The sequence below is a fragment of the Homo sapiens genome, chromosome 8, assembly GCF_000001405.40.
Source record: "Homo sapiens chromosome 8, GRCh38.p14 Primary Assembly".
NCBI classification, from domain to species: Eukaryota; Metazoa; Chordata; class Mammalia; order Primates; family Hominidae; genus Homo; species Homo sapiens.
Window position 1 is genome coordinate 139,799,662 of NC_000008.11, and position 18,725 is coordinate 139,818,386.

The 18,725-nt window shown below is 53.0% G+C and overlaps 1 protein-coding gene across 11 annotated transcripts in view; it reads right to left on the bottom strand.

Annotated features, from left to right (window-relative positions):
- The window catches only part of TRAPPC9 (trafficking protein particle complex subunit 9), a 730,855-nt gene that overhangs the window by 71,937 nt on the left and 640,193 nt on the right, over positions 1-18,725 (bottom strand). The window contains exons 22-23 of one of the 11 annotated variants that reach the window (XM_047422295.1): positions 6,472-6,544; positions 3,982-4,215 (exon numbers count right to left, since the gene is read on the bottom strand). The exons of 9 other annotated variants lie outside the window; for them this stretch is intronic. In XM_047422295.1, coding sequence (XP_047278251.1) covers positions 6,474-6,544 — 71 coding nt within the window. In that variant the 3' untranslated portion in view covers positions 3,982-4,215; positions 6,472-6,473. Of the gene's footprint in view, positions 1-3,981; positions 4,216-6,471; positions 6,545-18,725 lie in introns of those variants that run through there. One more of the 11 variants, NR_164662.1, reaches the window with a different exon arrangement.

Below are 18,725 nucleotides of genomic sequence, written 5' to 3' on the forward strand. Positions count from 1 at the left end.
CACACTCAGTCCGTGGGCAAGGAGCACGGAAGAGCTCCCATGAGCTCTTAGAGCAGTAACAGGAAGAATGTCCTACCCCGGCCTGGCAGGGGAAGGAGCGGGGCTGGGCAGCCTTGGGAAAGGCCCTGCAGTCCCACGGGCTGGGGCTCGTCCCCCTTTTCAGAGCCCCACACTGTGCCGAGCATGGGGCCACTGAGGCAAATACAACAGAACTGCTGTCCTCAAGGGCTTCTCAGGCCGATGGGGAAAGACAGGCAAGGAAACTAATCACGAGAGGGAAGTGATGCGGGGCCCAGAGGGCAGCAGCTGAGACAGACACGGAGATGGACAAAGGGCAGGACTAGCTCCAGAGGCAGTCAGATTCCACAGACGCATGGAAGGCACAGCAAACAGATGCCACAAAACACCTACGCTTGCTAGCAGCTGGCCAGGTGCCAAAAGACGGAGAGGGCATTGTACTGGACGGGCCAGACTGCGCTCCTGCCGCTGGGGCGCCTTTGGCTGAGGTCCCCAGCCCGCTGTGCTGTGTGGTGCTGTGAGACCTGTCACCTGTGCCATGCTGACTACACATGTGGTAGCCACCTATGCCAGGACAGCATTCTGTGGCTGGCCAAGGCCTGAGAAGCAGTCAGGCCCAAGAACTCAGCCAACAGGGCCAGGGAAGTGGGTGACCAGAGCTGCCATCCTGGGAGCATGTGCCCCAGAGACCCAGTGAGACTGAGCTGTTGGAAGAGGACACACGTGTCCACACTGAGGGGCCAAGAGCAGGGTTTCTGGTGGGTCCGTGCAGAGGCAGGAAGACAATTCGGAAAGACCAGCTGCTTTCTGGGTCGCCTGTCCCAAAGCTGAGGGGCAGTGAGATGTGCAGCTCCCAGAAAGAGCAAGTGCCCCTCCCGGGAAGGAACTGACAGCTGTTCCCGAGGCGGCCACTACCACTGCCCCAGAAGGCAGGTTTTTCATCTGTATGGAGACGGGACTCCAAGACATTCAGTCGCTGGCTTGAGGTCCCAGAGCTGGTCCATGGCAGGGCAGGGACTGGAGCCCAGGAGAGCTGTCTGAAACCACACTCTTCCCTCCCTCCAGTATCTTCCCTCTCTCTGGTATCTTCCCTCCCTCCGGCACCTTCCCTCCGTCCGGTATCTTTACCTTCCCTCCCTCCAGCACCTTCCCTCCGTCCGGTACCTGTACCTTCCCTCCCTCCGGTATCTCCCTCCCTCTGGTATCTTCCCGCCCTCCGGTACCTTCCCTCCCTCCGGTACCTTCCCTCCCTCCGGCACCTTCCCTCCATCCGGTACCTGTACCTTCCCTCCCTCCGGCATCTTCCCCCGCTCTGGCACCTTCCCTCCCTCCGGCATCTTCCCTCCCTCCGGTACCTTCCCTCCCTCCGGCACCTTCCCTCCCTCCAGTATCTTCCCTCCCTCCAGTATCTTCCCTCCCTCTGGTATCTTCCCTCCCTCCTGTATCTTCCCTCCCACCAGCAGCTGTCCGTTGATAGGATGGGTATCTCCACAGGGACAAGTGTGAGGTGCCAGAGGAATGAGGGTGGGGACAGACCACACAATGCCTTCCTCTTCCTGGGGAGACTTGGCTGGTGGCCTCCCTGCTTAGATGCATCCTCCTGAAAGTGACATAGTTCATGCCTCCTGCTCACATTGGGCCACACACCCCAGCATCCCAGCCCGGACACCTCCTGAGCCAGGGTGCTCACCAGGAGCAAAGCCGCAGGCATCAGGGCTTACCAGTGAGTGGTGCGTGGGTGTGGCAGGAATCTGGGGCCCAGGGAGCCCATGCCTATGGAGAGGGACACCTGGCCCCCAAGGAGGCATGGTGGCTGGAGCTCCTGCCCCGCCCCCCTTCCCTTGGCTGTGTCCACTGTTATGTGAGTGAAGCAGAGGCAGTGAAAATGCCAGGAGCTGTAACCTATAATGGGGTGCTGGGATGCGAAAGTGGGGGGTGGGGTACGGTTATCAACCGGGATTCCTGTTCCAGCCAGGAGGCACTGTGGCTTTTACAGTTCTGGGTTTCAACTGCACAGTCGCAGACGGGACCTGCCAGGAATCCGCACGAACTCCTCTGCGTCAGTTATGCTGTGTTACCTCCTTTCTTCCAATCTGTTCTTTATCCTGAAACCTCTCAAGCGCCAATTAGCTAATAAATGGGATTTGCGGAGCATGCAAACCCTGAAGCAGTGGTCTGCCTGTCAACAATCTGCGCCTCTCGGTAACCTCCTAATCCAGGACTGGGCCTGCAGAATCCGCCAGGGAGTCTCTGAGGCCTGTGGACATGGTTCCTGGACCTCTCCTGGGGCTCCAGAAAATCTTCCCCACCCAGGTGCTCTTAGCAGAGCTCACTCAAGGTGCTGTGTCTCCCAGGAATTGGCTGGAGCTTGATTTTCTAGCTCTGGGCTTCTTCCTCTAGCCCATTCCTCTTCCCTCCTCTCCACTCCCTGTTGTCCCACGCAACCCAGTACAGAACGGCATGGGTCACCTGAGCACACCCTCTGTGCCAGGCGGGGAGCAAGCAGGGTGGAGAATCTGGCCCTGCACAAATGTACTTGGAGTGAAGACTGCCCACCTGATCATGGCGCAGGAGAGACCAGCAAGAAAATGAGGCCATGGGTTCCTGCTCTCACACCTCCGCTTTGCTGGCCCCACGGGGACTGGCTTTTCACTAGGGGTGGAGGGGAGACAAGGAGAGGAGCTGTGTTTGGGAGAAAAGGGTCCCTCAATGATCTGAGATCCTGGCTATGGGAGGGGTCCCTGGGGCAGTGGAGGAGAAGTGCAGTCAGAGGAGTGGGCTTCCCACCCTGGCTCCCAGCACCACCCAGTGAGGACTCAGGCATCCCTTGGCCCTCTGACTCAGTTCCTTCAACTTTGAAATGAGGTTGCTACTAAACCGTTCACAGGATCGCTGTGAGGATGAAATATCATAGTGATCGCAAGCTTTCAAATCCTGTAAGGTGCTTATGTTAGTCCAGTAGTGCAAAGTTGAGTAATACTCTCTTTTACGGGCAAGAGATCAACTAGTATTCATTGCTGACGATGATGGGAATGCTTTCTATGTGGAACATTCTGTTTGGAAAAAGTGACTGTCAGTGCCTCTAGGCTCTGATTTGAGAATTGAAGCTTTGCAGTGTAGGCATTAGCGGGGTGTGGAATGTGAAGTGTATGTGTCACGTGTGCATCCGTATCTGAAGGTGCGTGTGTGTGTGCTGTTGTATGAGTGCTCTGTGTGCATGTTGTGTATGTCGGTGTGTGTTGTGTGCCTCCATGTGTGAATGTGTATGTGAAGATGTGTGCTGTTGTGTGAGTGCATTGTGTGCGTGTTATGTATGTCAGTGTATGTTGTGTGTGCATCCGTAGATGAACGTGTGTGTATGTGAAGGTGTCTGTGTGCCGTCGTGTGACTGTGCTGCGTGCTTGTTGTGTATGTCATTGTGTGTGCATCCATGCGTGAATGTGTATGTGAAGGTGTGTCTGTGTGCCGTCGTGTGAGTGTGCTGTGTGCGCGTTGTGTATGTCATTGTGTGTGCATCCATGTGTGAATGTGTATGTGAAGGTGTATGTCTGTGTGCTGTTGAGTGTGTGTGTGTCACAGGCTCTCATCAGGCTCACAGCCTCTCAGGAAGGCAACGTCCGTTGGAAACTCTAGAGCGGCGAGTCCTGCAGCCTGCCCTGCCCTCCAGCCCCGTGGGCAGAAATTTGACTCTGCCACTGCCTAGGAGAAGGGATACAGGTGCTCCTGCCTCTGATGAACCACACACAGTGCCAGGGGACACAGCCACCTCATGCGGGAGCCCACCCTCCAGACAGTGCAACTGCAGGGAAGCCTCAGGCCCAGCACCGCTCTCTGTGCAGGCAGTCAGACCATAAGCCCACAGTTGGAGGGTGTGCACACACAGACCCCAAACACAGCTGGATACCAACACCTCATGTCTCATGTTCTGCCTATCACTTGCACATATCAGCCCATCAACAAATGTTCACTTCCTTCCCAGTTTACTGGCAGAAGGTTTTCCAGAGAACTTCAAACCCATTTTTCTCAAAGGCGATATGTGGCTGTTCCCCGGAGTCACTGGAAGGCAGGGCTATTTCTTGAGATAGATGCATCACGCTGTCTAGTTTCTTTTCTCAGAATCTGCTGCTCCACTTTACCACTTCCCCAAGAGGACCGGGCTGTGGCTGGGATTTTTATTTCAGTCACTTTGGCAGTAGTCTGAAATAAATGACGTCTAAATGTGTCATTTGAACTTTCAACGGAGTTTACCACAGATGAAGAAAGATGGTCCCCAATCACCTTTCTCCAGTGAATCCCTCAAGTCTGCAAACAACACAACAACCACTGCTCTCACAGCACCACCACCACTATCCATCGCCGCCACCACACGCCACCTCCATCAAGCACCGCCGCCACCACCACGACGCACCACCACCACCACTCACCACCACCACCAAACACCACCACCACACACACACCCACCACCACCCACCACCACCACCAAGCACCACCACCACCACCCACCACCGCCACCAAGCACCACCGCCACCACCCACCACCAAGCACCATCACCACCACCCACCACCACCACCAAACACCACCACCACACACACAACCACCACCACCCACCACCGCCACCACACACAACCACCACCACCCACCACCGCCACCAAGCACCACCACCACCGCCACCAAGCACCACCACCACCACTCACCACCACCACCAAACACCACCACCACACACACAACCACCACCACCCACCACCGCCACCAAGCACCATCACCACCACTCACCACCACCACCACTCACCACCACCACCAAACACCACCACCACACACACAACCACTACCACCCACCACCGCCACCACACACAACCACCACCACCCACCACCGCCACCAAGCACCACCGCCACCACCCACCACCGCCACCAAGCACCACCACCACACACAACCACCACCACCCACCACCGCCACCAAGCACCACCGCCACCACCCACCACCGCCACCAAGCACCACCACCACACACAACCACCACCACCCACCACCACCACCCACCACCGGCACCAAGCACCACCACCACCACCACCAAGCACCGCCACCACTACCCACCACCACCACCAAGCACCACCGCCGCAGCCACCACCCACCACCAAGGCAGCTCTCTCCCCACAGCCTCTTCCATGCAGTGCTTCAGACACATTACTGAATCCCATGAGGACCCCTGTATGGGAGGAGTATAAAATTCAACCAAGGAAAGCTCCCCACCAGCCACCATGGTTGGGAGCAGCAAGCTGGAGCTCAGGGCCAGGTCCTCAAGTGGCAACACTCACAGCATGTTTCATGCATGAACTCACTAAGCCCCCTCCCCTGGAGAGGGGTCCTCATGCTGGGGTCCAGGGGCATGATAGAATCCGAGGGAGGTGTCTCTTCATCATGCATCCCATTGGGGTTGCAGGTGAAGGTCAGACTATAGCTCTCTCCTGGCCTCCTTCCACTGTTGGATCCACACCAAACCCTGCGGAGACCCCCTGGATGTGGAGTAGGCGTACCCCAGTGTGTCCTTTTGGTAGTTTCAGTGGCTTTGTGGAATCTAGCGTGGCGTGAGGTGTGCCTGGGCTGCCTCCTGCCTGGAAGTCTGAAAACTCCAGGCCATGCACAGGCATCCAGAGTCCACCCAATCCAACCTCCTCCCGGTGCAGGGCCCTCACCAGGGTCGGAAGTGGGAAGACCCCACACTCGGCAGGTGGGGACCTGCAGACCTGGCAGCCCTGCCATTTGTCAGCTGTGCACTCAGGCTAAGACATTGAACATCCTGGGGCCCCAGGTTCTTTGTTCTCTCATTTGCCAAGAAAATGTTTATTGAGTATCCAGTGTGGGCTTGGCACTGTGCTTGGTGCGTTCCTCTGGGAGTCGGGGCTGGCCAGGCTCCCCTACTGTCCAGGAGCAGTGAATTAATGATTTCTGAGTAGTATATATTTTGACATATAAAACCTTTCAAAATGCAGAGTCCACAAGAGGAGTTATAAAAGGAGCCCGTAGCATGAGTGGGAGGGCTGGTAATTCCTGACATGTATTAAAAAGATCAACCACAGACCCAGAGAATGCGGCCTCAGAGAACAGCTATTAAGTATAGACGAAAATACACAGAACGAAGAAGGAGGGCTCATGATACACTTTAAAGTACCAGAAAGCCCACTCCAGACTGAACTAAAATGCAAGCCTGTAAGTGTCTCAATGTATAAAAGCCTGGTTAAGGCTAACCTGTAATCACAATGTATCCATATAATCACATAATGATGCCTTCAGAGGCAGGGGTGTGCGCGGAGCACGCTGGAGAAGGAAGCCCCGAGCTCTCAGTGGAACAGTCAAGGGCTGCAAAGTGTAGCTCGAGAACGGGGCGTTAATTGAGAGCTTCCTACCTGCCAAGTATCATGCCAGGCACTAAACATAAATTCCGAGGGCTTAACCCTTACCATCATCCCACGCGGCAGCTGTGGCTCCTGTTCCAAGCGAGGGAGCCAGGGCTCCCGGAGATCAAATGGTCACCTGCAATCAAAGGGAGCAGCAGATCTTTGCCAGTTTCTTTGTGTGGTCACACAGTCTCCGCCCCTTCCCATGGGTGGGGGCCCGGCGGGAGGGGTCGATTTCCCTCCTGTGCGCAGCAGTGGTGGTATGTGGGTCCCGGCTGGTTTACTGGCTGTGGGGAGAGCTTCCCTGTCCCCTCTGTCACTGTCCTTGGTGGACTAAAACGCAGGCACATGATCTTGGCCACCTGGATGTTTCCACTCGGGGCTCAGCGGCAGTGACACCAAGGACCCGTGAAAACAATATGTAGCAGCAGCAACAGGATTAAGAGTGGAGCAGAAGTAGCCTCAGGTCCCAGAGCAGCTCCCCAAGGGTGTACCTGAACCGGGAGGCATCCAGGTGTGACCTCAGCTGGGTCCGGCAGTAGCCGAGCCTCCTGAACCCCCATCCTGACTCTGAGTGGCTCCTTGAACTGCCTGATAGCCTTCCCAGGCACCTGCTGTTCTGCTGAAGTTGACCAGAGTCCATTTCTGTTGCTGGCAGTTAAGAACCCTGATTCTCAAGCAGCAGCTGCAGGATTCACACCAGGCCCTTTGCATCAAAGCTGCACCCTTTCCTTTAGGATCCTGCTTCTCATGATGGGGAGAGAGAGGCTTCCTCACTCCTCTGGTGTGCACACGCACGGGGGAGAAGCTTATAGAAGGGGCGGGGGTGTTAAGGAGAGTTGTCTTTCAGCTTGACTTTGGAAAAGAGCCAGTGCTTTGATCGGCCACAGGCCAGGAAGGCCCGAGCACTTAGCGGCCTCCGGAGAGCCACCTGCCGATGCCCTCGAGACACCTTCAGCCAACCAAGGGCCCTCAGAGGCAGGAGGAAGCCTGTCACCTAATAATGCCCTGCACAGCCTCCACCCACTCAGAAGGACTGAGGCTTCCCAGGGAAGGGACAGAAAACTTGGGAAGCCAGGGATTTCCAGCGCAGAGAGCTGGGGCTGTCTGTGGGGTGAGTAGGGGCCAGAAAGCATAGCCAGCGGGACAGGAGTCCTTTGAAGAGACACCATTGTTGCCAAGGCCACAGCGGTGCAGGTCACACCAGCCAGTTACAGGGATCAGAGACCCAACCCCAGAATCACATTCCTCATGACCCATGCGTTCAGAAGAGCCTCTGAACTCCAAGGGGCAAAGCGGACAGCTGGCAGCCCTTTCCCTGGCCAGCAGAGGTGGCAGTTCTGGTAAAACTAAGAGTGGGGAGGAACATGAACTTGCTTTACTGATTCCCTTCCATTAATAAAACAGAGGACCCTACACGGGGCGCTTCATAAATGTGCTCTTGCTTAATCACCAACAAAAATCTGCAAGGAAAACGCAATGAACAGCACAGGAGCCGACAGGAGACGTCCTCAACACAACCACCGGCGGAGGCACTGCGGACGAAAGTGTGCGGAGATTGAAGCGGGTCCTCCACAAAAGGTGGGCGAACGGTACCAAGCAGGGGTTCTGTGTTACAGCTCCTCTCTGCTTAACACCCGAGAAATTCTTTCTTTGACTATGAGCACAGAGGTTGTTAATAGCCTTCAAGGAAAACCAGTGTAGAGCCCAGAGGAGGAGCTCAATATAAATCAGATAAATAAAAAAATATGAAAAATGAAGCTCTATTGAATGAACAAAGCACAGGCACCGGCTGGGTGGGTTCTGGAGGTAGGGATGAGCTCTGGCTGTGCCTTAGATGGGCTGGACTCATAACATGAGAACTTCTCCACAGACAGGAAGGGCATTCGGGTGTGGGGGCAGGCACAAATGGAACACGCATCCCTACAGGTGTGTATCTTGTTGACCTAAGAGGAGGGCAGGAGGTGGGAAAATCCTCGTTAAAGTCACCAAGCCTGAGGATCACAGAGGAGTGCAAGTGGGTGCGGCCTGACCCATTATTAACTATTACTTTTTTGAGACATACTTCATGTACCATGCAATTTACCCATTTGAAGTATACAATTCAGGCTGGACACAGTGGCTCACGCCTATAATCCCAGCACTTTGGGAGGCCGAGGCAGGAGGACTGCCTGAGGTCAGGAGTTCGAGACCAGCCTGACCAACATGGAGAAACCCTGTCCCTACTAAAAAGTACAAAAAATTAGCCGGGCGTGGTGGTGCACACCTGTAATCCCAGCTACTCAAGGGGCTGAGGCAGGAGAATCGCTTGAATCCAGGAGGTGAAGGTTGCAGTGAGCCGAGATGGTGCCACTGCACTCAAGCCTGAGCGACAGCGCAAGACTCCATTTCAAAAAAATAAAGTATACAATTCAGGGTTTTTAAAATATATCACAACCATCAGCATTATTACATTTCAGAATATTTCTATCTCCCTTCAGCACTATTTAATGCCAGAATATTCCCATGTACCCCTAAAAAGCAACTCCATACCCACTGGCAGTCATTCCCTACCCTCCCCACCCCCTCTGACAACCACTAATCTACTTTCTATCTCTACAGATTTACCAATTCTGGATGTATCATATAAACAGATTTGCATAATATGGGGCCTTTTGTGTCTGGCTTCTTTCACTTAGCATAATATTTTAAAATATTCACCTATGTTTTCACATATATTAGTACTTTGTTCCTTTTTCTGGCTGAGTAGTATTCCACTGTATGGATATACCACATTTTATCCATCAGCTGATGGATAGGTAAACAAAAACACTTGAGCTGGCTATTTTCACGTTTTGCTTTTATGACAAATGCTGCCACAAACAGGCACGTACAAGTTTTGTGTGGATGTATGTTTTCAATGCTCTTTGCCTAGGAGTGGATGTGCCTGACTCCAAACCCCTTTGTGTTCTCTGACTTGCATCTGACAAAGGTTCCAACATGGATTAACACCAGAGTCTACTGATTGTAATATTTCATTATCAAAAACATCTATTTTGATAACCCTTCTAAGGACTAGGAAACAAATGCCAGATCCAGATAATCCACTTAACTTGTCCCACTTAGCATTTATCCAAACAAGAGAGAAAAAGTCACCTTGAATTGCACAGAAGCCATTTCTGAAACTGACTTCACAGTACAGTCCTGTCCAAAGGCAGATGCAGCAGTCTGCCCTGAGTGCATCAGCAACACTGACTAAGTGAGCACGGGGAATGGGAGTGAAGCGTCCTCTTCTAGGCATGCCTAGAGGCTGACAGTGCTGGAGAGGGAGGAGACTGCGAACTGAGGAATAGCAGGAAAGTTCCCAAGAGCCACCGGGCAACTTCCTGCGCCAGACAGGAGGCAGGCTATGAAATCACTGAGTGTGGATACGACAGCCGGGTGTAAATCTCACTGAAGCAGGGGGCCTGGGCAATCGCCTCCGACTTCAGTCTCTGTCCCACAGCAGGGCCTTTCTGTGGCCTCAGGATGCAAGTCTAATTTTGCCTGCTGGCATCTGGGGTCCTCCAGAGCCTGGCCTCCTGACAGCCCAGCCCTGATCTTCCTGCTCTCCCTGCAGAAGCCCCCATTCTCTCTTAAGGAGTCCCCAGATGACAGCCAGCACAGCCCTGCCGGCACCATCCTCTCCCAGCCACAAGAGCCAACCCCCACCTCAACCCCAGTAGCTGTGACTGTGCCTGCCATATAAACGGCGGCCACCACCCTGCTGAGCCACCAGATACCCCACATGCCAGCCCCTGAGGTTGGCAAGGCACATTCCTGAGCGGCAGGATACTGAGTGACCCCCCTTCCTCCCGCCACCCCAGACCCTCTTCCCTGACTCCTGTGTGCGCTGAAAGCAGAGGTGCTAGAGGCACATCTGGCATCTCTGCACATCTGCCTGATGCTAAATCACTGGGTAACTGGAAACATACAGGTGGGGGGAGATTCTGCTCAGACAGGCAGACCTGGCACACACATTCACCCTGTTCCCTCCTGAAACCCACAGAGAGACAGACAGTGCCAGAATACATATGATATGAAGCCACCAGGAAGAGGAGGCAATGACAGCTGTGGAAAGAGGGCAACAAATTTTTGGAAGAAGCAAAGAGGATGGGTGAGGGGTAACTGACCTAACAGGGCAGCAGAAGCTAAACCCTGGGAGGCGACGCCAAGGAGACAAGGCCACTGCTGGAGGTGGGGAGGTGAGGGTTCACGAAGCAGGAGCAGCCACGGGGCATGGGCAGGGATGAGCAATGGGTGCAGAGTGGCAGCTGAACGACCATGACGGATCCTGCGAGCCAGGGTCCAGCCGGAGCTGACAAAGTTTCAGGGATTTCACGAGTTGGCTGACATCGTGTTGGGACCTTGAAACTGGCCACTACAGGAGTGTTTACATCTCAGAAACCAGCAAATGCTACAGACCAGGGCTCCCCCATCCCCTGAGAGCTGGCTGTTAAACTTCTACCAGCACACCACTGCGTAAAGCTCTCCTCCTTCAAATGGCCAGGGATGAACAGGACCTCGGTGGACGGTGCAGAAGTTCTATTCTTGGTAGGACTTGGGCCAGGAAGCCTCTGGACTCAAGATTCCATGAAGGAGGGATGAAGGCAAAGTCCTGACATGAATTATGGGGAGGGGCAGCCTCCTTCTTGGATGTGGCTCCCTGAATGCTGGCAGTGAGATCCATGGCATACTCCAGGATCTCCTCTGGCCAGGCCAGAGGACAGACCAGGCCAGAGGACAGACTCAGGATAGGTGGGGGAGTCCCTAATGAACTCTGGGTGGGGCCCACCATGCTTCCTGTCCGTGAAGCCCACCAGTCAGCCATCCTGCCCAAGCACAGAGACCAGCACTTCCCATCTACTTTAGGGCCTCATAGGAACAAAGGCCAAAGGGCACAGCCACTTGAGGACCACCTTTAAAGTAAAAGAGACAAAGATAAATGAAGGGGAAGACAAAGAGGAAGGCAGAAACAATTCACAGAACAAAGAAACCTTCACAGAAAGTGGCAATTAATATTCTCACAGAGATAAGAAAAGGCAGTCCAGCCATTACAAAAGAACAAGGTTCTATAAAAAGGAACTGAGAACAAGGAAGAGCTCTTGGAAATTAAAAATTAAATAAAAAAATTTAATACAGAGATTGGATATGAAATTGTGGATATTTTCCAGGAAGCAGTATAAGCATTCTAAGAGATAGGAAACAGCAAAGAAAAGAAAATTAAAGGACTAGCCAAGGAGGTCCAAGATCCAGTAAACAGGCATTCTGGAAGAGAAAACCCAGGAACAGGGAGGTAGAATTAGTTTAAAAATCATTTTTCAGAGTCCTTGTTTTGATGCCTGTGTTTGTTTTCACTGAAATGGCCCACTGAGGGCCTAGAACAAATGAGTTTCGAAGAACAACAGCAGGAGGCATTATGTGAAATTACAGAACCAGAACATTGGAGACTGAAGAGAAGATATCAAAGGCTTCCCAAGAGAAGCAAGCAGGTCACCTGCAAAGGATCAGGAGCTCGGAATCTGGATGGCAGGGGACTTCTCAATAGGGTGGAGGGAGCTTGTTTTTTAAAGCTATATATTTTTGGAAGCTAAGAAATGAGAGCAACACCTTCACAATTCCAAAGGGAAGAGAATCTAAATCCTAAATTCACCTGACTGATAAAGAATCTAAATCCTAAATTCTGCTGAGTGATCAATTAAATTTGAGGGAGATTTAAGATATATTTTTTTGGACATGCAATATTTCAAAAACATTTTTTTCCTATGCACTCTTTCCTGGAAAAGCACTAGAGGATGAGCTCCAGCAAACTGAAGAAGTAAACTGATAAAGAGAAAGGCAGGAGAAGCAGAAGCAGGATCTGGCATAGATGAGAGTCCAGAGGCTTGCTGGGGACAGTGGGAGGAATGTGCCAGGACCACAGCCCTGCAGCAGACCTGGAGGACATCAGGCCACATGGAAGCAGGACATGAGAACGCTGGAGAGATATCTCCTGGAACCACGCATGCACACACGATGTAGCTGATGGGTTTGGTGGTATTGAGAGGAATTTTGTGGTTCTGATGGAAAGTTCAAGAAAAATTAGCGTCACAGAAAAATAAACACTGCAGAAAATACAATTATAATTCTAGAAAAAGCAAAAAAAACTGTTTAAGGAAGGGAAGTATAATCATAATACATGCTTGGCTTAGCTGTGAAAAACAATCGCATTGTCACAGTAAAAATGAACAGAAGAACTCTGTGGGGATTTAACCAAGAACTGTGATAGAACTGTAGTAGACAGGTAGAGGCGAGCAGCCCACAGACGATGTCTAACACCGAAAGATCACACTACACCAGCGTACTCTATTTGGCATTAATTCAGTCATATTTTCAAGGTAAATACCTAAGGAAACAGTTTAGCATTTGCAGAAGCGCCTCTGAGGACTGGCGCTGGGTGATGGGGCAGGCAGGAGTAAGGACTGCTGGTCTTCGTTATGTGCCTTGTGGAACGAATTGGCTTTTTAAGTCACATGTATATATCACTTAAAAATAAAAAACCTTTACAGAAAACTCATCATTAAAGAAAAATGTTAATGAGTTAAATAGATATTTTTAACCAGAGACTCCTATATAAATTAGTGTATTTTCTGCACCCCCAAAAGACACAAACCAAGAGTAAAGGTGTTGGAATCAGGGCCTAGAATTTGAACCCTTGGAAGAGCTTTGCCTTCCAGGGGCATGGGCTATAGCTAAGGTGAACCTCAGTTTCCTCAACTATGGAATGGGGGAAAACATAAGCTACTTTACATGGGTTTCGGGAAGGTTAAAAACACCGAGTGTGTGAGGCTGGGCCAGAACGGTGCTTTGCAGACAGCTGCTAGAAGGTTCTAGAGCTGCAAGCTCCACGCCTGGCCCTGACAGCTTCCTCCAAATGGGTGTGACCGGCCCACTTCTCCACCCTTCCTCAGGCTGTCTTCTCAGCTCTCCTGAGCTCTACCAGGGAAGGGGTCTGAGATGCAGAGGCCGGGTGCCAGCTGCTCAAGGACTGTGCTGCCGGTCTCCCTGTGTCCCCACAAGCAGGGCGTGCCCCAGCAGGTAGAACATAAAGAGGAGGCAAACTAGGCCCACTCTGATGAGGTCTCACATCTGTGTGACCTAGAGTAAGTCACGTCCCCTCTTGCACCTCAGTTTCCTCCTCTTAAAATGTCATGACAAGGCACCTGCTGTGGGGCTGGTGTGGGGACAGTGCAAGAAGGGAGGGGGAGCACCAGCTCAGACTCCTCCTGTCCCACAAGCAACACGCTGCAGTGCCTCCCAGGCCCACGGCCAGCCCCCTTCTCCCATCATGCTCCGGAGAGAAGGCACCTTCTGGAACCGTCCTCTAGAACGATGGCAGATGCCGCAGGAATGAGACTTGGTGCTGGTCTATGAGCCGAGAAGGGCCAGGCCTAGAGAGGAGGGGAGCACCAGGCCTCCCTGAACACCGTTCCCAGCACCTTGGCAGCAGCACCGGGTGGGGAGAGGCAAACAGCTCACCATGAGGCCTGAAGAGCTGCCTCTGGGCCCAGCTCTGCTCAGCACTAGTTGAGGGGCCTCGGAAAGCTGGTGCCCAGGTCAGCAAGGCAGGCTTCCTGGGGTCTAATGTGTGCAAGGCTGCAGAATGGGCTGCCTGGGGACACAGAATGAATCAGATGTCACAGGCCCTAAGGAGCCCACAGAATCATGGGAAAGACAGGCAGGTAGCAGACAAAAACCACATGGTGACAGCGCCAGGGCAGAGGTGACGGCACCGGGGGTGAGGTGACGGTGCCGGGGCAGAGGTGACAGCGTGGGGGCAGAGGGCTGCAGACAGGAATGTGGCTCACAGAAGACAGACCTCACAGCCCAGCCCAGGGGTCGGTGAGGGTGCCCCAGAAAGTTCCTGGAAAAGGTGACACCAGAATCCAGCTCAGTCCAGCTGACTCAAAAGTCCCCTTTTCTCTCCCTGCATCTTCCCTCACTGCCTCTGAGCTCCCGCCTCTGAGCTCGAAGCCCGGCAAGAAGAATCACGTTCCTCCGGCAGCCGCCACAGCTGTTCAGTCCACCCAGCAGCCCTGTGCTCCGCGAGGCAGGCGGTGGGCGGCCAGGGGCAGGCTGTGATGTCAAACAGGGAGAATTATGTCTGCTGGGAGAGGCGGCAGAACAGAGATGAAGCCTCGAGCTGGGCCTGTTTCCATGCCAATGGCCTTCCCCGTGGAGACACGGCGATGAGAAGCCAAAAACAGTCACCGTCGCTGCTCAGAACCCCTCAAGCTGTCAGGAAATGGGGGAGAAATTGCTCAGCTTGGGAGAGCAGACTGTCTAGCAGGAGGGAGGGTAAGAAGTCCCTCAGGCAAGAGCAGGCCCAGGAAAAGGACCCCGGGGCCCCTGAGGAGGACATTAAAGGACAGGACAGTGAATCCAGAGTTCAGAGGCTCCTCTGGGCCCAGTTTTACTTCCCTAAATTCAGATCTCACAGCTCTCCTTCCAGGTAGATAGGAAGCTGAGACTCTGAAATACTAACTTTTCCAGTTGTACAGCCAATAAGTAGCAGGGCTAGAACCTGAATCCAGGTCTGTTTTCAAAGCTTTCCCTCCTAAACTCTGCTAGTTAGCCTCAAAAAAAGAAAGGAAAGGAAAGGAAAAAGGAAAGGAAAGGAAGAAAAACAGTAGCTGTGAGCTCCAAGGGTTGCTATCCTAAAAAACTCCCAGAAGGTGCCAAAGACAGACAGAAGGTGTGGTTTCAGAATCCTGCACCCAAGGAGTTCCTATAAATCACCCAACGTGCTTGCAGAGCAGGGTCTGGAAAACGATGCTGCTAGCTCCTTGAGGACAGACATGGCCGGGCACCGAGTTGATGCCAGCAGGGCCATTGATGTCACAGGAAACCCGCATGCTCCTTGCTGCCACCAGTATGTGTACGGCAAAGCTGCCAGCACCTGGGCCCGACTCTTAGCAGCTTCCCCCAGGTCCTGTTGTGGGTCAGCTTCAATCCCAGGGTTGCCTGTAAAGTCCTGCAGTGGACAGTCTGTTTTAGACTGCCTTAGAACATCTGTATCAGTCAATTGAGGGGAAGGGACTGCAAAAGGAAGAGAAAAAATGCAAGACAGCCTTCAGTCCGGAGAAGCTCCCATCACTCCCAGCTCCCTGCCCGCCTTCCCTGTGGCAGAAGGTGCGTGTCATCCTCTCTTACTGGAGATGAGAATGGGGGCAGGGGTAGCAAATAACTTGCTCGAGGTCACAAAGCTGATCTGAAATTCACATTCCTTCCATTTCTAAATCACCACAACTACTCAGCATTCATAACTTTTTTTTTTTTTTGAGACCGTCTCGCTCTGTCACCCAGGCTGGAGTGCAGTGGTGTGATCTCAGCTCACTGCAACTTCTGCCTCCCGGGTTCAAGCGATTCTCCCACCTCAGCTTCCCAAGTGGCTGGGATTACAGACTTGCGCCACCACACCTGGCTGCCTAATTTTTGTATTTTTAGCAGAGACAGGGTTTCACCATGTTGGCCAGGCTGGTCTAGAACTCCTGACCTCAAATGATCCGCCCAGCTTAACCTCCCAAAGTGCTGATTACAGGCGTGAGCCACAGCGCCCGGCAAGCACTCACTAACATTCAACAGTCAATCCACAGATATTTCCTGACAGGAGGGACTGTGCTACCTACGGACTCGTGGTGGGAAGGTGGGGTGAGCAGTGGCTCCGGGGATCACCAGCAGGGGAACACACACACAGAGGGCAAGGAGGCTGCGTGTGCAAACACGGGTGGCTCTTGTGCTCATCACCTGACTCTTAGGAGCTCACTGACTCTTCACAGTCACCTTGAGACCTGACGTAGAAGCCGAGGCCCAGCGAGGTTAAGGAACCTGCATGAGGGACACGGGCAGTGAGTGACGGAGCCAGGCTGGGGACCGGGCGGGTGGATTCCCGAGCCTGGATAAAACTGGCTTAACCACTGGAGAAACTGGCAAGAACGGCTGTGTTTGGCAGATGCTATGGTTGGGAAGCACAGAGTGGGTGGGAGAACCGCAGGGCACCAGAGGGCAGCCTTGGTGACTGGGGAAGCTTCTGGAAGGGGTGGTGTGGAGGCCTGGAAGGCCAGACTTGATAGATGAGAGGGGGTGATCAGGCAAAGCGGGGCCTGGGTGAACTGGATTTTCAGAGCAAGGTTCAGAGGAAAGCCAAGGGCAAGGGGATAGTGGGTACCTTCCGGTGAAAGCAGCTGGGCCAGCCAGATGCTGGTGAGGCTTTGGGGAAAGGAGGAAAGGCTGGTCAATCTGTCCCCAGAACGTTCCTTGCCAGCCCACCAGGTGCAGATTTAGAGCAATGCTGGGTGTGTTGCAGCACTGGGAGAGCTTTGAGTCCCTGGCTTGTGGGGCTGGGAGAGACGCAAGGGGGCTGCCCCCATCTCAGTATGGAGATGGGCCACAGGGGCCGACCCAGAGGGGACAGAGGAGAGGTGGAGCCCAGAGAGTCCCCTCCCACCCCACTGCTCCTCAGAGAACATCCCACGGCTCCTGAGTGTTCTCTGGGACCCAACTGCAGGTCTGGGACTTGCTACAAAGAATAAGACGGAGCCTCCTACAGAGGGTCATTTCATTTTTACATAATATTCACATCTTAAAATGGAAGGGCATCTGTCATGACCTCTGCAATGCCAAGCGACCCTTCCTGTGCTTCGTGGATAAGGACACTGTCTTGGGTCCGCCAACTCCTGCCAGGAACAGTGACTTCCCACCTCCTTCCATCAGCTGCTTGGAACCAAACTCACGGCCCGCCCTCACTGCACATGCAGGCACAGTCTCAGCTTCATTTCTGTCTCCATTTAATAACCATCTTCTTCTTTTTCTCCTTTTGCTCCAGATGATATGCATTTAAGTGTATATTATCTTGCATTTTTGATGAATCCTTGTGAGCCATTTAAGTCCTATCTTCAGTAAGGAAGAACATAAACTAAACACACACACACACACACACACACACACACACACCAGCCACTGCTTTCTGAGCACCCCCAGGGTGCTGCAGGCTGGGCCTGGTGCTCTGTGCAGGTCAGCCCCATCAGCCCCATGCCTTGCAGGGGCCGCTGGAGCAGGTTCACAGCGCCCCATCTGGAGTTAAGTCAATGAGGTTAGAGAGGCCAAGACACCAGTTCAGTGGACATGGCTGGGGATAGCAGGTTCAGGCTGCAAATCTCATATATTTCCACATGCCATGCAGCAGTGGAGGGCACAGCTGTGTCTCTTTTTGAGGACAGAATCTTAGAATGCTACTTATGGCAGTTACATCTCAGGAGTTCCTTTTTCCTTGAAAACTGAGAAGTTGATAGACTACCGAGAGGATGAACTAGTGGCAAAGGAGCAGGATGAGTCTGCGATTCAGTGCTGCTCCAGGCAGCCAGACCCATGGATCGTCCTCACGGCCCTCAATCGAGCAGCCGCAGCGTGCCCTCCTGGTCTCCTGCCCCACAGGCCTGGCTTCTCGTTCATTAACCCCTTACCCGTGGATGCGTCCCGGCAGCAGGCGCCACGTGGCTGGTGAGAAGGGCGAGGCTTGGGCCCATGGCTGCTGCTCACCGCACAGCCTTCTCTTTAGAAGGTTTTTCCTTTGCAAGGGTCCTAATGATTTCTGCTTCCTCCACTGCTGGGGACCACTCAGCCATGAGCTGCTCACTCCTCTATGGGATGGATGGTGAAATAGAGGCAACTTAGGTAAAGACTTTCGGGAATACCTCCAGGCTATGGGAACAGACAGAGCCATATACAACATGACCTGCACTCTTGGGTCAGGGAGAGACTTGCTTACTCATGTCTTACAAAGCCATACCGAGATCCCCAAAGACAAATAGGAGGATCACAAAAATGTGCTGAATTAATCCACTTCAGTTCCACAATTTATTCTTAAGCTACCGTGTGTACCAGTATATGCTAAGTAATTGGGCATACACTGTTTATACATGAGTGTAGGGCTTACTATCCTGATTTCATGGATGAGAAAAGAGAGGCTCAAAGACTTCAGGTCATTTGCCCTTGGCTAGTTAGTGACTGACCTCGGGGCTTTCTGACTCCAAAGAGTATTCTTAACAGCTTCCTGCATGCATGCCCTGTCTCTAGGTGCTGGGCCCTGTGCAGTGATGAAATGATGTGATCCCTCCCTCAGGGGTGGAGAGTCTGATTAGGAGCTGTGAGGATAAGAGAAAAAGACAGGCCTGGCATGGTAGCTCATGCCTGTAATCCCAGTGCTTTGGGAGGCCAAGGCAGGCCGATCACTTGAAGTCAGGAGTTTGAGACCAGCCTGG